Below are 20,645 nucleotides of genomic sequence, written 5' to 3'. Positions count from 1 at the left end.
TTTTTTAAAACATTTGTATATATCGTTTTGATCAAAATTTAATAATTTGCTTTAGAAGACAACCACCCAAAGTCTCCTTGTTAGCAGTTCAGACACCTGGCCGGTACCCAGCACTGACTGGCAAGGTGGTCTTTGTTGTTTCAGTCCCCTGCTCCTGTCCTCCGGGACCAGAGGCCCTATCACCTACAGCTTCTCTCCACACAGGGGACCTGCAGTCAGAGCCGAGAAATCAAGTCAGCCTCGACTTGGGCCACTGGAGAAGGCCTATCCTCCTCGTTGTTTATGAGTAGACTGAGTAGACAGAGAAAAAGATCTTGGTGGGGGCTAAAGGACTTTCCCCTTCGTTTGCCATTTTGCCCAGCTGCTTCCTGTGTTGTTAAGGTTGAGGTGGCCTTTGTGGTGACACCAAACCAGGCTACCAGCAGCTCAGGGGAACGGCCTCATGCTCTCAGGAGGGGAAGTCATGCCACCAAGGTGGCTTGCTGATTTGCTCCTGCTGGGGCCCTGGGGCTGTCATATGAGGAACACCAACATGACGCGTATGTGGGGAGAGGAGCTGCCTCTCAGATGCACCTGCTAAAACTCACAAGGGAAGCCATGCATCTGCTACGGAAACAAAGAGGAGGGCTTCAGGTCTGGCCACCAGATCGGAGCACGTGGAACTCAGCTCCATCGATGTGAAACCACAACTCGAACATGGCTCAGTATGAAGACAAAGGCCCCCAAATCACATTTTCACTCACTCTAAAAGGGCAAATTTCTCTGTCTGTAAAATGTGGAGGTTAGCCTTGGTTCTCTCTCAACCATGATGTCCAAACCTGCCTTGTGAAGGTTATTGCGGGTAACTTGTGCTAATAATAGCTTAAGCACTGAGGTTTGCAAACAAGGTACATTTTATTGTATGTGAGGCGAGGGTTCAAGATCTCTGTGTGATATTATTGCTTGCATGTTCATCTCTTCCCTTGAGTGGCAGGAATGGAGCAGAGTTGGGGGGTTGGCTGTGGGGGCTGATGTGTTCAGCATGTCAACATTGTCCATTTTGTGTACTAAAAAAACCACAACAGCAACCAGTTAAGAATCACTGGATTTGGGCCTCTCTCAGGACCCTCCCAACACTAAAGCAAATGACCATGACTACAGTTGAGACATTCCATCCAAAGGGCTTCCTTAAAGACATGTGTTAAGGATCATGCAGACCATTCTCTGTGGCCAAGGTATACAGGGCATAATAAACCTGTCCAAGGATACTCTTCCTTTGTGCCTTTGCTCAAACTGTCTCCACTCCCTTATGGACTGTCTTCTTCCCTTCTCAAATCTTACCGATCTATCATGGCCCACACGAAGACATGCCTTTTCCACAAAGGTCTGACCAGCCAAGCCCCTTAATGACCTTTATTTCTCTCACTCCCTTAGCACTCACAGTCTAGAGTCCACAGTTTTTAACTGCACGACAAACTGCTTTATATTTCACTAATTCTTTGGATTGCTAAGAATGCCAAGGATAGTCATCTTATCTGAGTTTGACCCATAGCAACCAGCACAGAGATAGGCACACACCAGGAATTACTTGCTTAATTAATACTTCATGAATGATTTGTTGACTGCATGAGCCAATGACCAAAATTCTTAACTTCTGGTTTAAAAAAATTAACAAGAAAGTTAAAATATCATGCTTCTCTAAGGTCCCATATCCAAGGCTGCCTTGTCAATATAAGAATCTGAGGAGAGTTCTTTAGAAAATCCTTCTGTCGTATAGTTTCCACTTCAAACCCTAAGAAGCAGGTCCTCATTTCTCTTTCCCATATGGAAGTATAACAGACTTGGAGATAGGGGGCTGACCTCTAGTTCTGAATTCTTATCTTGCCATTCATATCTTGCCAAAACAAATCTTAAAGCATCATATTTTAAAAGCACAAATCAAAAATAGTTCTCGGATATTCCTTAAGAGTTACTGCATGTCTTCTCTGAGGGTCAGCCCTGCAAATTCTCTTTGATCTCAGCCAGGCCTTCAGTGAAGTTAGACAATTCTCTCATTCTTCCCCAGTTTATTTCTTATTCCACCCACATAGGCAACTGTTCCAAACCCTGAAGTCTCCTGAAGTTTCCTAACCAGTCCATCACCTTTATTTCCTGCAGAGGACCTCACCTCCTGCCTTACTTAGAAAACAGAGAACATGGACAGACTAAACACACCTCTGTTTTACCTAGAGATTAAAGCCTAAGAACCATTGCTCTACAATGACCAAATAATGACGCAAACAGAATCAAAAGGTCTACTGATGAAGTCATCACTGGGTCTTTCTCAGGCATCTCGCAAGAAGGTCCTATTTACTTCCCTCTCTCACTGCCTGTATCTGAGTTGCCCAAAGTCTATCAAAATGCCACGCAACCAGAATGATCCCTGCAAGAAATTCTGCCTGAACTCAAGCTCTGCCTTCTCAAAACAATTTCTTTCAAGAATTTGCACCCTCTGTTGCCAGGGCCCAAGTATGGCTTAAATGGCTATTTTTTGAGGTACATCACACACAGCCCTTAGCATAATGCCCATGGCTAGAAAGCCAATATCTAAGCTCTTTGCATCCTGGGAGGCGTCCCATACCCACTGACTGAATTCTGAAGTGTCTTTGTACAGACAAGGCCATCCAGGGGCCTTGACAGAATCTGTGAATCACAAAGTGCCTTTAAGCTTCCCATTGGCTCAACAGTACAGAGAGGCCACAGATCCATCTTCTTAAAGTGACACACAATATATAATTAATAAATTGTTTCTTAAGGAATGGAGGGCATTTACCCAAAAGAGTCACACATTCAGGAGGCTCCTTCTCTATTTCCACGGCTTTTTTTTCTCAGACTGGGATTTACAGACATTACCTCATCCGCAGGCTTTCATGATGACAGGCAGGTAACAGTTGGGCAGGCTGCCTTCCATTGCTCAATTTTGAACGTCAGAGAGGTAGTGGCTGGTTTAAGGGCACACAGCAAGTCAGGGATCCTGTGTCCCATGCTCACTGTGCTGCTCTGTCTGCCCTGGAAGCAAAGCATGCCCTCAACATTTTTGGATGGTTGCAAAATGCTGAATTCTCACAGAGGAAGAGGCCCTTCCTTAACTCTACGTGTTGAAATGTGAGAATGGCCCTGGGCTTCTGCTTGGCTTGTTCCCTCCCACTTCTCCCTACCTACTCAGGTTCCACCCACCTCTCTTGTGCTACTTAAGAGCACTTCCCACCTGAAGCCTTTCACTTCATGCCCTATCACTCTTAACTTTCCCTTCCTTCGGCCGGTAAACTTGGGGCTGGGTTTACTGGTCACAGAGACCAACTTCCCTCAAAAAAGCAAAATTCAGGAAAGCTCTGGAGGGAGAGGGGCTGGTAATAGCCAAGGGTTGATTACATACATAAGCCAAATTCTTAATGATTATGTAATTAATACATTATAACAATAAATACATAAATATGCTAGTACTTACTATGTGCTAAGCATTCTGCTCGGCACTTTCATGCACCCCTTGGGTAGTAAGAGCATCCAAAGATATTCTAGTTCCTCCCCTGCCTCCATTCACTGCCAAGAAGGCAGCAGCCTGCCCCCCTTCTCCCACCATCTCACTACTGATGCAGGGGCCATCCCCTGGACCCTAGGCATGGCTTTGCTCCTCAGAATGACAGGACCAAAAGCCTTTCATAAAGACTCCAGTGAGGTGACTGATGTCTGGCTTTGTCAATTACAAGTGAATAATTAATACTTGCCAGTAAAGAAATAGACTCATTGTTACGGTGGCCACATGGAGGCTACAAAAGGCCATTTTGTGACGCTTTTGGTGGACCCCTGGGGCCAACAGTGGTCCAAAGAAGCTGCGTTGAGAGTGTAGTCCAATCTTTAAACGTAGGGACTGGGACCCGTACTGTTTTCCAGGAGCGCTTTTCCCGTTAATTAGCTTGTAGCCGATTCATCATCTCATTCAGCTTTCTGGTTGATGACAGCAGCAGAGGCCACTGAACATCAGAGAGGGCATGATTTATCAGAGGGGTCATGTAGTGTTCTACCAGGGCCTTTTACCGGTTTTTGAATTCATGTCTACTTCCTTCTCTGGGCCAGCATCTGATTTGAGTAAAACTCTCCAACCCCACTGGGTTGTACATCCGACTCTTGGCCTAATGCCTAAAGCAAGTTTTTCCTTTTTCATTTTCCAGCAGGGACTGAACAAGGCAGCCTTGGGTGCCTACAGAACCGGTCAGAACTGGCCAGGAAATATAATAAAGAAGCTTAGTGAGCAGAGAGCTAATGCCCCCAGCCAGAGGCTCAGTGCGCACAACTAGCTAGAGGCACTGACTTTGTAAGCAACAACACTATCTTCTTGAGGTCTAATAATTGCCTTGGCAAAGGGCAGCCAATGCCAACGAGGAACCCTGTGTACACAAGTTTCTCATCCCGAAAGTGGACACTGGGTGCTCAAAAAATGCCTTCTGGTGACAGTAACACCTGACCAGTCAAACAAACATGCACGCATGCACATGCATGCATACACACTCTTACAGCATTCCTGCCTGCAGGGCCAAAGCTGCCCTTGCCAAATACAGAGCTGACAGCTGCTAGATATTGTCATTTCAGGGACCCGTTCCCAAAAGAACTACCCAGCTCCCCACCTCCACTTCCAGCCCACTGTTTGAAATTCTACCATTAGTGATAGCAAATATTTCTACAGTGTTTCCCATTAAAGCTTTGTTTCCCATTAAAATGCCTCCATCCTCTGTTTCTTTTCCGGTCAAATGACTTGTAAAGCACCTGCTCTGCATCAAATGGGAACTTCTTTTGTATTTAGCTCTTCAAGATAAACACAATCATTGGCTCCTTTCTTGAAAACCATTTCTGACACTGGAGACTGGGGGAAGGGCAGGGCACTGTATGGAAGTGGAGGTGGGAGGCCACCAGGAGGGCCACAGAGAGAGGGTCTAATGGTGGAGAAAGCAACCATCAAGGCCTTCACAGGCCTGCCCAAAGATATGGACCTGATTTTTGCCCTCTAAGATCTCAGGGACCCAGGTTGCTGGCACAGCCTGTATCCAAGAGTAAGGTGAGACCCACTGCCCTAACTGGGACACAGACAGGAGGCAGGAAATGGGAACACAGGAACCGACAGTCTCCTGATTTGCCCCTCCTGCCAGCAGGCCTGCCTCCGTCTCCCTGCCCATGCTGAGGGCACAGGCACCCAGGAACTAGCAGAAAAAGATCCTTGTCCCATTCTTGGCCTAGCTGGAAGGACAGCTGATGGCTCATCAGCCCTGGTGAGTGTTTCCACTGTGCTGGGGAAAGTAGGCAAGCAAAGGTCAAAATCAGATTCCCTGTGCTGGGGAGGCACCTGGGCTGTCAGTGTCCTTTCCAGCCGGGTTCTGGATATAGAGGGCCATACTTATGTGGAACATGCTACCTGCCCCCATCCCCAAGCAGAGAGCACCTCCTCCTCTTCTTTTGCACATAGGTGGGCTGTTCTTTGGGGTGAGGGGTAGGGCTGACCTGAAAAGTAGACGCCACAACAGACAGGCAAGCATCTTCCTGGTTCTTCAGAGCTCAAGAAAAAAACCACCTTTTCCCCCAGGAGTCAGCCCACTCATCCCCTTCCCCCACTTCCACCGTGCCCGCAGCCAGCTTGGTGAGCGATGCTAGTGTAGGCCAGAAAGCTTCCAAGCGGGTCAGACCTGCTCCTCTCTCATCAAAGCCCTCCGCCCCCAAACATCGACGCTGCGCCCCTCGCCCCACCCATCACACGTTCTGTGTGCCCGAGGCGGCTGCCAGGCGGGCCCAGGCGGCTCTCGCTGGCCCTGGGGGAGGTGACGGTGGTCACGGCGGCAGAGGCAGGGGCCAGCGCTCTGCAGTACCTGGACTCGAGGATGTCGCCGCTGCCGGGCTCGCGGCCGCTGCAGGTGTCTCCGGTCCCTGAGATTAGCACCGCCTCCTCCCGGGCTGGCGGCTCCGGCCCAGGCCGCGCACCTGCTGCTGCGGCTCCCCCGCCGCCGCGCCGGAGCTCCGCGATGTGCCCGCGCCTCCCGGGCAGAGGGTCCGTGCCGCGGGACGCACGGTGGGTCCGAGGGGGAAAGGGGCCGCGTGGGGCCTGAGGCCGGGCCTCGGGCTAGCCCGGGCACAGCGCCGAGCGCCCCCCGCGGGCCGGGAGAGGGGGCGGCCCTTCGCGCATCCTCACGGCCTCATCCCCGTCCCCGGCGGCATCCTAGTCCCCGTGCCCGGCCCGAGGCCTGCGAGGGCCGCTTACCTGGCTCTGCGGCGGGTCCAGGGGAGGGGCCTGAGGCTACCGCAGGGCCCCGCGCCGGGGCGCAGGATGCTCTGCCCCGCTCCGCTGCGCCGCGCTCGGCCCCGCCCCGGCCCCGCTGCTCCGCCCGCCGCGGCTCCGCCCCCACCCAGCGCCCGCCCCTTCGCCGCAGCGGCTGTCACACAAAGGGCAGGAAATGGCTGCGGCGAGGGTCTCTCCACGCTCTCCGCTGTACCGCCGGCGCACCCAGGACCTGCCTCTCGGTTTCGGAGGACCGCTCAGCCCCCAGGCTTCCTGCCCTGGGGGCGGGAAAGGGAGGGAAGGCTTCTTCCACGGCCTCCATCACCGGGAACCACACCTGCAGCAACCCGAGGACGAGAGCTTCGGCCGCGTTCGGATCTTATTGGCCCCACATGATTTCCAAGTGCTCTTTTATCAACCCAGTCTTTATTGATTACCTATCCTGTTCCAAGTACCGTGCCAGGACTTGGGTGTGCACTGGTGTACAAAAGACAGGGTCCTGCCCCCTTGGAGTTTTATCACCTGCCAGGAGAAACAGGTGTAAATTAACCTAGCAAACGTCCAGTTACAGCCCAAAGTGCTCTGAGGAGAAGGAGCAGGGTGAAGTGACAGAAGATGCAACTGGGGCTAGGGGAAGGGGCCTTCCACCAATTGAGCTTGGTCGCTGATAGGGCTCCTTCGCTTAAGAATAAGTTCTTCCGCTCCCTTCCAGTTCCCTGGAGAAGAGTCCCTGAAGCTGCCACCTCTTTTACAGGGGCCTGCCTCAACTTCATTCTGGAAGAATTGCCTAACGGACAAATAGGTGGCAGGAAGCACTGAGAGGACAGGTACCTTTCTCTTCAAGGCTTATCTGCCGTGTCGGGCTCTTTAAAGAAGCAATTATCTGCCCAGCGGTGGCTCACACCTGTAATACCAAAACTTTGGGAGGCCGAGGAGAGAGGATTGCTTGAGCTCAGGAATTGGAGACCATCCTGGGCAACTCAACGAAACTTCATCTCTACTAAAAATTAAAAAAAAAAAAAAATAGATGGGTGTGGTGGCATCCACCTTTTGTCCCAGCTACTCAGGAGGCTGAGGTGGGAGGATTGCTTGAGCCTGGGAGATTGAGGCTACAGTGAGCTATGATCCTGCCGCCGCACTCCAGACTGGGTGACAGAGTGAGACTCTGTCTCAAAAAAAAAAAAAAAAGAATGAAAGAGAGAGACGGGGGGAGAGAGAGAGAGAGAAAGGAAGAAAGAAAAAGAAAGAGAGAGAAAGAAGAGAAGGAAAGAAAGAAGAGAAAGAAAGAGAGAAAAGAAAAAGAGAAAGAAACAATTCTCATTGAAATCCAGCCTGGTAGGCCTTCAGACCAGGCTGAAGTCAGGCTGCACCAAATTCTAACCTTGAGACACCTGAGCAGGTCACTTCACCACTCTGCTCCACAGAGGTCACCGTATCTGCAACACAGGGAATAACAGTTGCCCTTTATACCTTACAGGGTAAATAATTTGAAAACATTTGAGACATTGTGGAGTGTATGTAGATATAAGGAGTGGTTTCCTAAGGCCCACAAATTTATACTTAATCACTCAGCTGTTCCTAATAAGGGCAATTTGTGGAGGAGCCCCGTTATTCAAGCTCCAGCAAAGGACTTGTGGAAGCCTTTGCTTTCCTTTACTGATCTCACCTTATTTCCCACGTGCTCAGAATCCATAATTCCTTGTGGTTTGATCTTAAATCGCTAATTCCAATTCAAATTGCTATTTCGGAAAAAAATGACTTATATATATATATATATACACACACATACATTTCTTCCCTGGTTCAGTGTGAAAAGCTGTGGGGGTGTTTGTGGAGGATGGGTTTAAAAACAGAACTGAGGTTTCCTTTTTAAAAAATGTTTCATTTTCCACCGTGATCCTTGGGATTTCAAGTTCAGTGATTACAAATACTTAACAATGAGAATCCCAATAAATCAGATTTTCATTCTAAGGGGCATATTATTGCAGATGGTATAGTTTTTTGGAAGACGTATTTCTCCCTGTTGTTCCTTCCCTGTCTTTTCACCTTCAGGAACAAGTTGCCTAAAAACAGAAAAGACTATTACATATATATTTGGTTAGATCTTAGGCAAAAATAACTCCGACCTCTGAGTTCTATTTGTGTATAAAGGAGAGCAGTATGGTCTTTTGAAGCCACTGTGTTGGAAATCCAGAGGCTTGCCTTTTGGTTCTAGTTTTGCAACTAACAGAAGAATGATCTTAGGCAAGGAGCCTCACCCCTGTTTCCTCACCTGTTAAGTGAAGTAAGTTGGATGCTCTCCAACTTCCCTCTGAATGTGGAAAATTACATGAGTTAAAGGGCACGTCCCTCCCAGGCTTAAGGCACTTCCCTAGCTCCCCACTGCCCCCCGATGAAGCCCAAACTCTCCAGTGGCCGGAGAGGGTCTTTAAGAGCTGGCAGCTATCTCTCCATGTGAACAAGCTTGCTGTGCTTCAGCTAAAAGGAACAGCTTTTAGTTCCTCAAACTTGCTGTGTTCTCTGTTGTGCTCGACATTCGTACATGCAAGGCTTCTTCAATGGCAGTTTCTGTCCCCCCATTCCCTCCCTCCACATTCCACACTTTTTCCCAGTTTACCTGATGAAGTTCTGTTCATCTTCCTGGTATTCCTCTAGATGTCGCTTCCTCCAAGATTCCTACATGTCTGGGTTAGCTTGAGATTAGTTGTCTATGTGTCCTTAGCTGCCTGGGCTCCCTCTATCACCCCACGTATTAGTCTGCATTATAATTGTCAACACACTTCCCTGTATTCCACCATGAGACCATAAAATCTAAGGGAGCAGGGATATGTCTGTCTTGCTTTCCCATTGCATCCTTGGAGCCTGGTACTTAACAGGAGTTCAGTAAAAATGGATGGAATGAACACCCATAGGTGACATTTTTAAACTTTGCCACTGAAATGTATAGCTGTCTGTCTACTGCCTTCAGATTTCCTTCACATCCAACCCCAAGCTGTGCATCAGCAATGAAATGGTAGAGGATATCAATAAGAATTGCTTTGGTACTTGCAAAGCTGTGGCCCACATGTTGTCCATGTGGCAACATTACCTTGTGTTTTAGAAAAGCTTCAAGTTATAATCCCAGCACTTTGGGAGGCCGAGGCAGGTGGATTGCCTGAGGTCAGGAGTTCGAGACCAGCCTGGCCAACATAGTGAAACCCAGTTTCTACTAAAAATACAAAAAATTAGCTGGGCATGGTGGCGAGCGCCTGTAATCCCAGCTACTCAGGAGGGTGAGGCAGAATTGCTTGAACCCGGGAGGTGGAAGTTGTAGTGAGCCGAGATCACACTGTTGCACTCCAGCCTGGGCAACAAGAGCAAAACTCTGTCTCAAAAAAAAAAAAAATATATATATATATATGTATTTTAAAACTATCAGGAGACCCTGCTTTATAGACACCAGTAATGAAGTATCTGGAATGGGCATGAAGGGAAAACATAAATAATGATAATAATAATAATGGCTAACATTTACCAAGTACATTACCTCATTTAATTTTTCGTAATTTTTCTATAAGGAAAATACAATCATTTTTCCCATTTTTATAATTGAGGCAATTAAGGTTTAATAATTTGCCCAAGGTAGTGAAGTCAAACCCATGCTTTTTACCACAATCTCATACAGCCTCACTTTCCCTCTTCCAAGCTAAGTCCATTTGTTTACTAATATGCTACCTTATTCTAAAAACATATTAAATGTAAGTTACAGGAATACATTATGTTAAAAAATTAAAAATCAGCAAGAAATTTTTTAAAAAGAAGGAAAAGAGTAGAGAGATGAGATGGAGAATCGAATGTACATAAGACCAAAATGTAAACAAAACAAAAATCAATCACAGCTCTACCTGCTATGAGCTTGCTAACACATTTGGTTCTAAGTATTTATGTGGGTGGCAGGAAAAGATAAACTTGATGGTCAGTTACAGAATTTACATTGGCCATTCTGTAGATAGAACCTGACCACTTGCTCAAAATTGCCTCATTTTATAGGCAAGAGAATTGCTTGAGCCCAGGAGGTGGAGGTTGCAGTGAGCAAAGATGGTGCGGCTGCATTCCAGCCTGGGCAACAGAGCAAAACACTGTATCAAAACAAAGCAAAACAAAACAAAACAAAAAAGTATATCCCTTAGATTCTTGTGAAGGTTATATGAAATGATAATGTAACACACTAAGCAGAGTCTGGTACATAATAAATGCTCAAAAATGGGATTATTATTATGATTTTCTTTTTGAGACAGAGTCTCACTCTGTCGCCCAGGCTGGAGTGCAGTGGCATGATCTTGGCTCACTGCAACCTCCGCCTCCCAGGTTCAAGTGATTCTCCTGCCTCAGCCTCCCGAGTAGCTGGGATTATGGGCATGTGCCCCTACACCTGGCTAATTTTTGTATTTTTAGTAAAGATGTAGTTTCACCATGTTAGCCAGGCTGGTCTCGAACTCCTGATCTCAGGTGATCCTCCCGTCTCGGCCTCCCAAAGTGCCAGGATTACAGGTGTGTGCCACCACGCCTGGCCTGTGGCCATCTCTTGTTGCTATTGTGGTGAACTCAAGTGTTGCCAGTATCCACTTCAAGTGCTGTGTGATGCTAATCATCTCTGAGTGAGCAATTCATCTCTCATGATGAAACATTTTTCATCATGTTTAGTGTAATACAGCAAACCTTGAATAACACCATGGAACCCACATGAAGTGACACTAGTGATGCTGAAAGTGTTCCCAAAAAGCAGAGAAAAGTCATAACATTACAAGAAAAAAGCTGAATTTTCTTGATATGTACCATAGATTGAGGTCTGCAGCTGCAGTTGTCCATCATTTTAAGATGAATGAATTTAGCATAAGGACCACTGTAAAAAGAAAGAAAGAAAGAGAAAGAGAGAAAGAAGGAAAGAAAATTCATGAAGCCGTAGCTGCGGCTCCCAGCAGGTATGAAAACCTTGCACTTTTTGTTAAATACCATTTTAGCTCATATTGAAAATGCAGGTTTTAGGTGGGTGCGTTGCTATAAAGATTGCTATAAGAAAGACGTACCCATAGACTCTAATATAAGTCAGGAAAAAGTGAAGTCATTATATGACAATTTAAAGCAAAAGAAAGGTGAAGGATCTAAAGCTGAAGAATTTAATGCCAGCAAAGATGGTTTGATAATTTTAGAAAGAGGTTTGGCTTAAAAAATGTCACGATAACAGGAGAAGCAGCTTCTGCTGACCAAGAGATAGCAGACAAGTTATCAGATGCCATTAACAAAATCATGGAGGAGAAAGGATAACTAATTGCCTGAACAGGTTTTTAATTTGGATGAAAGTACCCTATTCTGGGGGGAAAAAAAAGCCACAAAGAACATTGCTTAGTAAGGAAAAGAAGCGAGCACCAGGATTTAAGACAGGAAAGGATAGGCTAACTCTGCTGTTTTGTGCAATGCAGTTAAGCTTATCATCAGGACTGCCCTTACCTATAAAGCTGAAAACCCCCAAGCCTTGAAGGAAAATGTTAAACACCAGCTGCCAGTCTTTTGGTTGTACAACAAGAAGGCCTGGACAACGAGAACTCTTTCTGGATCAGTTCCATTGATGTTTTGTCCCTGAAGTCGGGAAGTACCTTGCCACTAAAGGTCTGCCTTTCAAGGTTCTTTTGATATTGAAGGATGCCCCTCGGTTATCTAGAACCCCATGAGTTCAACACTGAAGGCATCAAAGTGGTCTACTTGCCCCCAAACACATCTCTAATCCAGCCTCTAGATAAGGGGGTCATAAGGACCTTTAATGCCCATTATATATGGTACTCTTTGGAAAAGATTGTCAATGCTATGAAAGAGAACCCTGATAGAACATCAAGAAAGTCTGGAAGGATTACACTGTTGAAGATGCCACATTGTTACAGGAAAAGCTATTAAAGTCATCAATCTCAAAACAACAAGTTTCTGCTGGAGAAAACTGTGTTCAGATGTTGTGCATAACTTCACAGGATTTACAGCAGAGTCAATCAAGAAAATCATGAAAGAGATTGAGCATATGGCAAAAAGGTGGGTGAGGGGTGTGTGTGAAGCGTCTCAACATATGGATCTTGGAGAAATCAAGAGCTAATAGATGCCACTCCAGAGGGATTAACAGAAGATGACAACTTGATGGAGATGAGTGCTACTGAACCAGTGCCAGACAATGAGGAAGATGTAGAAGAGGCAATATCAGAACACAAATTGATGTTAGACAATCTGGCAAAGGGTTTTGGTTACTCAAGATGACTTTCGACTTCTTTTATGACATGACCCTTCTATGATGTGGGCACTGAAACTAAGGCAAATAGTGAAAGAAGGATTTGTATTATACAGAAACATTTTTAGAGAAATGAGAAGGCAAAAATTCAGACAGAAATTACGATGTATTTCTGTAAAGTTACATTGAGTGTACCTGCCTCTCCTGCCTCCGCTTCCACCTCTTCTGCTTCTATTAGCCTTGAGATAGCAAGACCAACTCTCCTTTTCCTCCTTCTCCTCAACCTTTTCAATGTGAAGACGATGAGGATGAAGACCTTTATGATGATCCACCTCCATTTAATGAATACTAAATATATTTTCTCTTCCATTTGATATTCTAAATAACATTTTCTTTTCTGTAGCTATTTTGTTTGTTATAAGAATACAGTATATAATAAATATAAGATGCAAAATTGTGTTAATCAACAGTTTGCATTATCAGTAAGGCATACAGTCAACAGTAGGCTATTAGCAGTTAAGTTTTTGGAGCATTAAAAAATTATACGTGGATTTTCGACAGTGCAAGGGGTTGAGATCGCTAACCTCCATGTTGTTCAAGGTCAACTGTGCTTGACTCCTTCAGTTGTCTCTCGTGATTGTGGCCAGCACTTGGTTTGGGCCTCAAGGGTCCTAGACGTAACATGAAAATAATGCAGGAGAAGAAGTTGGAATAAGATGCATTTTTATGCCTGCTGATTTCTCCACCTGAAATGTCCTTCTAGACCCTCTCCTTTTTGGGAACTCTTATTTACCCTTCAATGCACATCTCAAACTTCACTTCCCCTGTGAGGCCCTTCCTGATCCCTTAGATGTGTTTACTTAATTCTCTGTGCTCTTGCTGTGCTGTGACTATAGCTACATCGCATAACCTACAACAGCTCTTTGCAATTATAGTTGGTTCTTATTATTCAGTAATTATGTTCTATAAAGTTGCTGTGAACACTAAGTTAACAAATACTGAACCATTGCTTCTAGGGGAAATAAAGGGTTAGGTTCCTACAAGCCCCTGCTCACCACGCTTTTGTCAACTAATCAATACATAACCTTGTTTTATGCATGTTTCTGTTAAAAAAAACCCTTATTTATATATATTATTGATTTATTAACATTGAACTCACAGTCAACAGTACTATAACTCATCCCTCATTAAACTTATTGAACTAACAGCTTTCTTGCAGTTAGGAACACTAGACAGCATGTCAGCACTACATTTGGGGGCCGTTTTATTTATTTATTTATTTATTTATTTATTTATTTATTTATTTATATGAAGTCTTGCCCTGTCGCCCAGGCTGGAGCACAGTGGCGGGATCTTGTCTCACTGCAACATCCGCCTCCCAGGGTCAAGCGATTCTCCTGCCTCAGCTTCCCAAATAGCTGCGACTACAGGCATGCACCACTACACCCAACTAATTTTTGTATTTTTTAAGTAGAGACAGGGTTTCACTATATGTTGGCCAGGCTGGTCTCAAATTCCTGACCTCAGGTGATCCACCCACCTTAGCCCCTCAAAGTGCTGGGATTATAGTTGTGAGCCACTGTGCCTGGCTGGGGGCCATTTTAAACAGCAAAATCACCAGAAAAAAAGTACAGAAATGCAGAAAATGTGTCACTAAATAGACTGAGAAAAGCCACTTGTTTGCAGCATGAGAGCTGAACGCCACTCTGTTTGACCTCAGTTGGGAATGTGTATATGGAGCAACGCAAAATTTTTACTGCTCCACACTTTGGCATGTCATGAATGACTGCAGGAAAAGCCTCCAGGATTGATTTTAGGGTTATAAACAAATTTTATCCAGTAGACAAATTTACCAATACAGAATCTACAAGCAATGAGAATCGATTGCATTGGTTTATGTGTTGAGCTTTTTCACTAGGCTGAGCCCTCTTATAGGAAGGATTGGTGTCTGTACTAGGTATCTTCTCTTTGTCTCCCCAGATCCACTCCACTCTCTCACCCTGCACTCTGGTCCTGGAGACTGACCTCTATGGACTACCCTACTAGGGCTCCCTTGTCCTCTGCGTTCAGTGGGATTTGACCAATAGAAGACCCAGTTGATGGGAGAAAGGAAGGAGAGTGAGGCAGAGTATTGATGCCCCTGGCTTCCTCCCTGTGATGTTGCCTTGGGTTTCCTCTGTCCCTTACTAAAGGTCTTCTCCTTTAAGGCAGCACTCTCCAATATTCTCCTTCCATATTTAAATGACCACTCTCCCTTGTTATCCCTTCAGGCCTAGGGGGTGATAACTACTTGTTTCAAGCTACTCAAGCTGCTATAACAAAATACCTTAGACTGGGTAATTTATAAACCACAGAAATTTATTTCTCACAGTTCTGGGGACTGGGAAGCTCAAGACCATGGCGCCAGCAGATTCAGTATCTGGTCAGGGTTTGCTCTCCGCTCCATAGATGACACCTTGTTGCTGTGTTCTCATATGGCAGAAGGGTAAAGGGCAAAAAGGGACTACCTCCTCAAACCTTTTCATAAGGGCAGTAATCTCATTCATAAGGGCAGAGCCCTCACGGCCTGATCATCTCCTAAAGGCCCCACCACTTAATACTATTGCACTGGAGATCGTTTCAATAGGAATTTTGGAGGAACACAAACATTCAAACCATAGCATGAGTGCCCCGCTGTGGTTTTCCTCTGTACCACTTTCTAAGGTTCTCCTAAACTGAACCACACAGTTTTAAATAGTCCTTTTGTCAAAAAGCTCTCCTCGAATTATACTAATTTGATTGTGACGTGCTTGGTCCCTAACTGATGAGATATCTTAGTCATCTTTTTAGATCATGTACCTAACAAAGAGTCATAGTAGATGAATGGTAACCATTTATGAAATAAGTAAATGAACTCTAAAACTCCGTCTACCACTCATTGTCTGTATGACTCTGTTATACTACAAGCCAACTATACATTGTACCTTGGGGAGAATCTCAAAGTCATTGCAGACACACTCTTACACAACCATACACACACCCCTAGTGCTGGTACCAAGGGGTGGCTCTGGGAAGTGAGCCTCAGTGCACCAAAATTTCAGCACCTTCCCCATTAAAGCCCACGCAAATTAATATCTATTCTAAAGTAAAACCATGTGCTTACTGTTCAAATGCAGCTTCCACCCCTAGCCCTCTGTTCCTGACCAGGCCACCTTCCCAAGCCCTCTAATTGGGAATCTGCAGCTCTTTCTGCACCTGATGATGCACATACTCCCTGTCTTGCTGAATGAGGTATTTCTGTCTTTTCCTCAAAAGGGTGGCCTTAGGTGTTGGGAGATTCTGAGAAGAGCAGGGTCTGCAGGAAAAATCCTCTGAGAAGCAGATCTGTTCCTCCAATCTGCTTTTGACTTTCTCATGTGGATGATTTGGCAGTGGGATTCAAGCACAGAGGTGAGTTCTAGGAAGGACTGCATGGAAGCCTTGGGCTTTCTCTTCCATGCTCAGTGGTTGACTGGCGCATGACCTGGCTCCTGCAATGGAGCTGGGCATTTGGTGGACTGAAAGGCACAGAGTGCTCAGCACACCAAAACTATAACCACCCAGCCTTTATATTACTGGGGTTTTAAGAAGGAAAGCTATTTTATTGCTATCTAAAGTGAATGACGTACTCCAAATTACAATTTCCATATGTCACCCACACAACAGATGACAGTGAATGATTAGGAAAAATAATATGGTACTGTGAACAAGGCAAAGATAATCTCCAAATTAGTTTCTTTTCCATTGGCTTTGCCTTTCTCAAATCCATTCACTATGCTGCTGCCAGAATATATTCTTAAACACATCGCAAATTTGACCTTCTCTTCCTGTGCAATGACATCTTTTCTACCTATAGGGTGAAATTCCAACTTCTTGGTCTTTTAAAGTATAGTTCTTTCATAGATTTATAGATTCAGTTTCAATTTACCCACCTCTTCTATCATCCTTACCCTTGCTGAGAAAATAGACACACACACACACACACACACACACACACACACACACACACACACACAGCGCGCACGCGCATGCGCGCATGCTCCAGCAATAGTGAACTGACAATAGCTTCCCAATACTTCCTGTTCTCTCTCTACCTGGAAAGTATGTCTCTTACTTCTGCCCACTTACTTACCTTATAACTCATAAATTTATCTTCAAAACTGGCTTAGACAGTATATCCTCGCGACAGTGCTTCTTAAACTTTAATGTGTATACGATTACCTGCAGATCTTGTTAAAATGACAATTCTTGCTCGGTAGGTGAGGAAGAAGCCTGAGAATCTGAATTTTTCACAACATGGTGATGCTATTGCTGCTGGTCCAGGGACCACACTTTGAGTAGCAGGGCTCTAAGAAGTTTCCCTTGATGTCATCCTTTCCCTGATAGATTCCATCACTTATTCTGGGCTCTTCTCTTCTTTGACCACAGTTTTTTGTTGTTGCCCTAATTGTTCTATTATAATTTTATTTCTTCATATGTTTTCCTTTTCAATCAGACTAGGAATTTTTTAGAAGTAAAGACTATGACTTTTCCATCTTTGTTTTCATGAGGATGCATACACTGAACTGTGTGCATGAACCATAGGAACGTTTGATATTTACTTGTTGAATGAATGTTGTTCAATGATATGTAATCTTTAATTGTCTGTGGAAAATGAAACAATGTAACCATTTTTACTTAAGGAAAAGTTCTGAGAGTTTGCGATTTAAATAAATATGGAACCGAGGCCCTATGCACCATATTTATTAAAATGCAGCTTTAATATTGCTATATTCAACTTTTAACTCTGTGTGCTCTACAAAGGATAACAGGTATTTGTAACATTTTTATTTTGAACACTAGCAGTGACTGTACATTAATAAATATGCATCTGATCCAAATATAAATACATAGTCTCAAAAGGTACAAAATGCAAAATCTACGAAATAAAACTAGAACCAAAACTCTGTATAAGGGAGTTCTCTACAAACACAGGGGACCATTTAAAAAATGTGAGAAGAGAAAAACCAGGCAGGAAGCCCATTTTGCGGGATAGGGCACCAGGAGGTGAAGAATGTACACATGTACAGTTGAGGATTAGATGAATCTGAGCTTGAAAAAGGTAATACCATGCACAGGGGAATTTTCTAAACCAAACCACAGAGATCAGTCAATTCCAATGTTTTCTTTCTAGACTGAATGTTCCAGAAATCATCTCTAATTAAGGATCCCAAAAGATAATGTACAAAATTCTAAAAAGTAAACAGAGATAATTTTGGATAAGCTGAGTAAAATCATCTTCTGAATGACAGAGTTTTATCTTGAGGCTCTCCACTTCACAATAATTATAATTAAAAATTATGCATCTGAATCTCAAGCCAGTCAAAACGTCACATGATTTAGAAAGAGCCAATTGCAACACCATCCTCTCTTATATCAGGGAATGTCCCTCCTCATGAAGTGTTCAAGAAGACTACAGCTGAAAGTTGGAATGATAATTAAAGGAAGAACTCATACTTCTACAGAAGAATCTTTTAAAGTTGCTTTGAAGCTCGTCTATAAATGGCTTCAAGCAACATGACTGGTTGGTTGTGAGAATTAAAGGGTCATTAACTGAATAACTCCAAAGTCATTAACATGACCAAGGTAAGGATACAGAATAGGAAAAGGAAAATCCTATTCCAAGTTGGAGGGCCATGCCATCAACCACAGTGGTCTGTGCCAGAGCAACACTATTCGCTAGTGGTTCTATACTGACTTCTTTACTGGCTTTCCATCTTTGTATTTATTCCCTCTGCAATCCGTTTCATTTTCAGTAGAAGCCAGTGTCGAATAGGAATAAAGAATCTGTGTATTGCGGTCAGACAGATTTGGGCTAGAATACCAGCTCTAGACTTTCTAGTTCCATCACTTTGGGCAGATGTCTTGGCTTTTTAAAGCCTCAGTTACATTATTTGTAAAATGGGAATAATAATATTACCTCATGGGGATGTGAACCCAGGGTGAACAGAGATTTTGCAGGGAAGTCTCCTAGCTCAGTACATATTCACCTTGCATATAGAAGTGCTCAAGCCAGAGTAGGCACTCTCATGCCTCTTGGAAGCACCCCAGTCAGTGCCTGACTGTTTCCATCCTGATGGTTTGAGCAAAAACAGACTCTTTATTTCTCTCCTAGAATTTTAGGAGACTTGGAGTCTCAACCTTAAAATTGCTCAACCCTAGGGCCTAAACAAGTTTCAATTGCTCGCCAAGGGAACATTGACCAACACAATGCTGCCCTCTGTTGATGAGGATCGGATAGTGCAGAGAGGGGGGGCTGATTCCCAGAGGCTGGAAAAAAGGATGTTTTTCAGAAGTAATCATTTCTTCTCAGGATGCTGGTGGAAGCATTCTGTGCAGAAGAGGAGGCATAGTCACCTGCACAGCTTGGTATAAAAGATGAGCTTGGTATAAAAGAAGAGACCTAAGATCTCTTCTTGCACCACATGGTTCTCCACCGTCAGAGGTTCTCTTGTTCTGGTGCAGACATCAGATACCCAATGCTCCAAGCATGGGACCTGAACTGTTCACCCCAATCCATCCAATGGGTCTCGCCATGCTCCCTTCAAGGAGAGAGGTAGCAGCATACTCTGTAAAACCTCATAAAGCTGCTTCTCAGAATATCCGGCCTCCTGTGTGAGCAGCTGCTCTATCATTCTCTACGGCAGGAAGCTGTGGCTGACAGCATCACAGCAACAGAGCACACTCACTCTAATCTTACTTAACTCACCAGTTTTCTTGGAAAAAGACTCATGCTCTTTGTTCCCCTTGCCTCCATATCCTGGGATACTGTGTTGTTGGGTCAAATAAAAAGTCCCTGGAACCATAAACTTTAGATTCATGTTAAAAATAACAATAAAAATAGCAATCTGGGTCTTACTCATGTCTCTCTCTGTTGCTAAGAAGTGCAAGAATGCTGTCTGAAAGCTGTCAGGTTGAGGTTTGTGCACCACATGTGACAAGAGGCTAGAGGAAGGGCAGAGACATCACTCCTGTTCTGGCTCAGCTCCCAGCTTGGTGGCTGACCCTCCAGCTGTGGCTTGACTGCCAGCTGTGGTCAGGATGCTGCTTCCATGGTGACTCAGGGACTGATGCCACAGGCCAGGCTGCCTCTGGAGGGTCCTGGGCTGGTGGCAGCTTCTAATGCTCTATGGAATGAGGACATATCCTTCCTCCATTCAGGATCTGCAGCCCGTGGCCTGGTACTCAGTCTCTACTAAAGTCCTGATTCTGCAATTTCAGCCAGTTGACGCAGCAGTCTGGAGAAGGCTGGCCGATCTTCTGGTCTCTGGAGAGGGAAAAAAGAACTCTGTAAGTTCCTTGTACTTATGCGTCATAGGTAAATCCAAAACAAACCAGAATTTAATAGCAGCATCCCCTGTGGATTTTTGTATGTGCTTCCATGTTGACTGTATTCCATATACATTGTCCTAGTTGTTAACAGCAGGTATTCTGGAATCCAAGGGACTAGTGTTTAATCTCAGTTTTACCACTAATTAGCTGTGTGACATTCAGCAGGTTATTTAACCTCTTTGAACCTCAGTTTTGTCATTTGTAAAATGGAGATAATAATAGTATCTACCTCATGAAATTGTTTTGAGAATTCAATAAATCACATATAAAAATATATCAAGAAATTAATGCTAAAGAACACCAAAAAATGAAATATCTGGGTATAAATCTCAGAAAATATCTACATGATCTAAATGAGAAAAAATTAAAAATTCTAATAAAAGAAAGCAAAGAAGATCTAAATAAATGGACAGATATTCCATGTTCATGGACAGGAAGACACTATAGTGTTAAAATATTAGTTCTTCCCAACTTGACTTATAGATTCAATATAATCCTAATAAAAATTCAGCAAGTTATTTTTTTTAGATATTGACAAACTGACTGTAACATTTATACGGAGAGGCAAAAGACCCAGAGAGCCAATACAATAATGAAGAAGAACAACAAAGCTAGAAGACTGACCCTACCTGACTTTAGGACTTACTCTAAAGCTACAGTAATGGGAGAGGATGGTGCTAGTGAAAGAATAAACAAACAGATTAATGGATCAGCCCAGATATAGATCCATAT

The 20,645-nt window shown here is 44.4% G+C and overlaps 2 protein-coding genes across 7 annotated transcripts in view, besides 6 other annotated features; both read right to left on the bottom strand.

Moving 5' to 3' along the window:
* CYFIP2 (cytoplasmic FMR1 interacting protein 2) overlaps nt 1-6,332 on the bottom strand; it is a 129,472-nt gene extending 123,140 nt beyond the window's left edge. For 3 of the 6 annotated variants that reach the window (NM_001291722.2, NM_001037333.3, NM_001291721.2), the window contains exon 1: nt 6,260-6,332. The gene's annotated coding sequence lies outside the window, so the exon portion shown is untranslated. Of the gene's footprint in view, nt 1-2,871; nt 3,132-5,508; nt 5,675-5,870 lie in introns of those variants that run through there. The other 3 variants (XM_047417100.1, XM_011534516.4, NM_014376.4) reach the window with 3 other exon arrangements.
* Nucleotides 43-252: an enhancer, noted in NCBI's record as "active region_23510". NCBI's record gives its function as "activates an Ori minimal core promoter by ATAC-STARR-seq in GM12878 lymphoblastoid cells {active_cell/tissue: GM12878}" and the evidence as "EXISTENCE:reporter gene assay evidence [ECO:0000049][PMID:35858748]".
* Nucleotides 503-692: an enhancer, noted in NCBI's record as "active region_23509". NCBI's record gives its function as "activates an Ori minimal core promoter by ATAC-STARR-seq in GM12878 lymphoblastoid cells {active_cell/tissue: GM12878}" and the evidence as "EXISTENCE:reporter gene assay evidence [ECO:0000049][PMID:35858748]".
* Nucleotides 5,116-5,225: an enhancer, noted in NCBI's record as "active region_23508". NCBI's record gives its function as "activates an Ori minimal core promoter by ATAC-STARR-seq in GM12878 lymphoblastoid cells {active_cell/tissue: GM12878}" and the evidence as "EXISTENCE:reporter gene assay evidence [ECO:0000049][PMID:35858748]".
* Nucleotides 5,906-6,425: a silencer, noted in NCBI's record as "silent region_16557". NCBI's record gives its function as "represses an Ori minimal core promoter by ATAC-STARR-seq in GM12878 lymphoblastoid cells {active_cell/tissue: GM12878}" and the evidence as "EXISTENCE:reporter gene assay evidence [ECO:0000049][PMID:35858748]".
* Nucleotides 17,270-20,645, bottom strand: part of ITK (IL2 inducible T cell kinase) — a 74,346-nt gene continuing 70,970 nt past the window's right edge. Inside the window, exon 17 of the mRNA NM_005546.4 lies at nt 17,270-19,848. Coding sequence (NP_005537.3) covers nt 19,777-19,848 — 72 coding nt within the window. The 3' untranslated portion in view covers nt 17,270-19,776. The remainder of the gene's footprint in view (nt 19,849-20,645) is intronic.
* Nucleotides 18,970-19,019: an enhancer, noted in NCBI's record as "active region_23507". NCBI's record gives its function as "activates an Ori minimal core promoter by ATAC-STARR-seq in GM12878 lymphoblastoid cells {active_cell/tissue: GM12878}" and the evidence as "EXISTENCE:reporter gene assay evidence [ECO:0000049][PMID:35858748]".
* Nucleotides 19,410-19,469: an enhancer, noted in NCBI's record as "active region_23506". NCBI's record gives its function as "activates an Ori minimal core promoter by ATAC-STARR-seq in GM12878 lymphoblastoid cells {active_cell/tissue: GM12878}" and the evidence as "EXISTENCE:reporter gene assay evidence [ECO:0000049][PMID:35858748]".

The sequence above is a fragment of the Homo sapiens genome, chromosome 5 (assembly GCF_000001405.40).
Source record: "Homo sapiens chromosome 5, GRCh38.p14 Primary Assembly".
Taxonomy (NCBI): Eukaryota; Metazoa; Chordata; class Mammalia; order Primates; family Hominidae; genus Homo; species Homo sapiens.
This window is presented reverse-complemented; position numbering and strand designations above follow the sequence as displayed.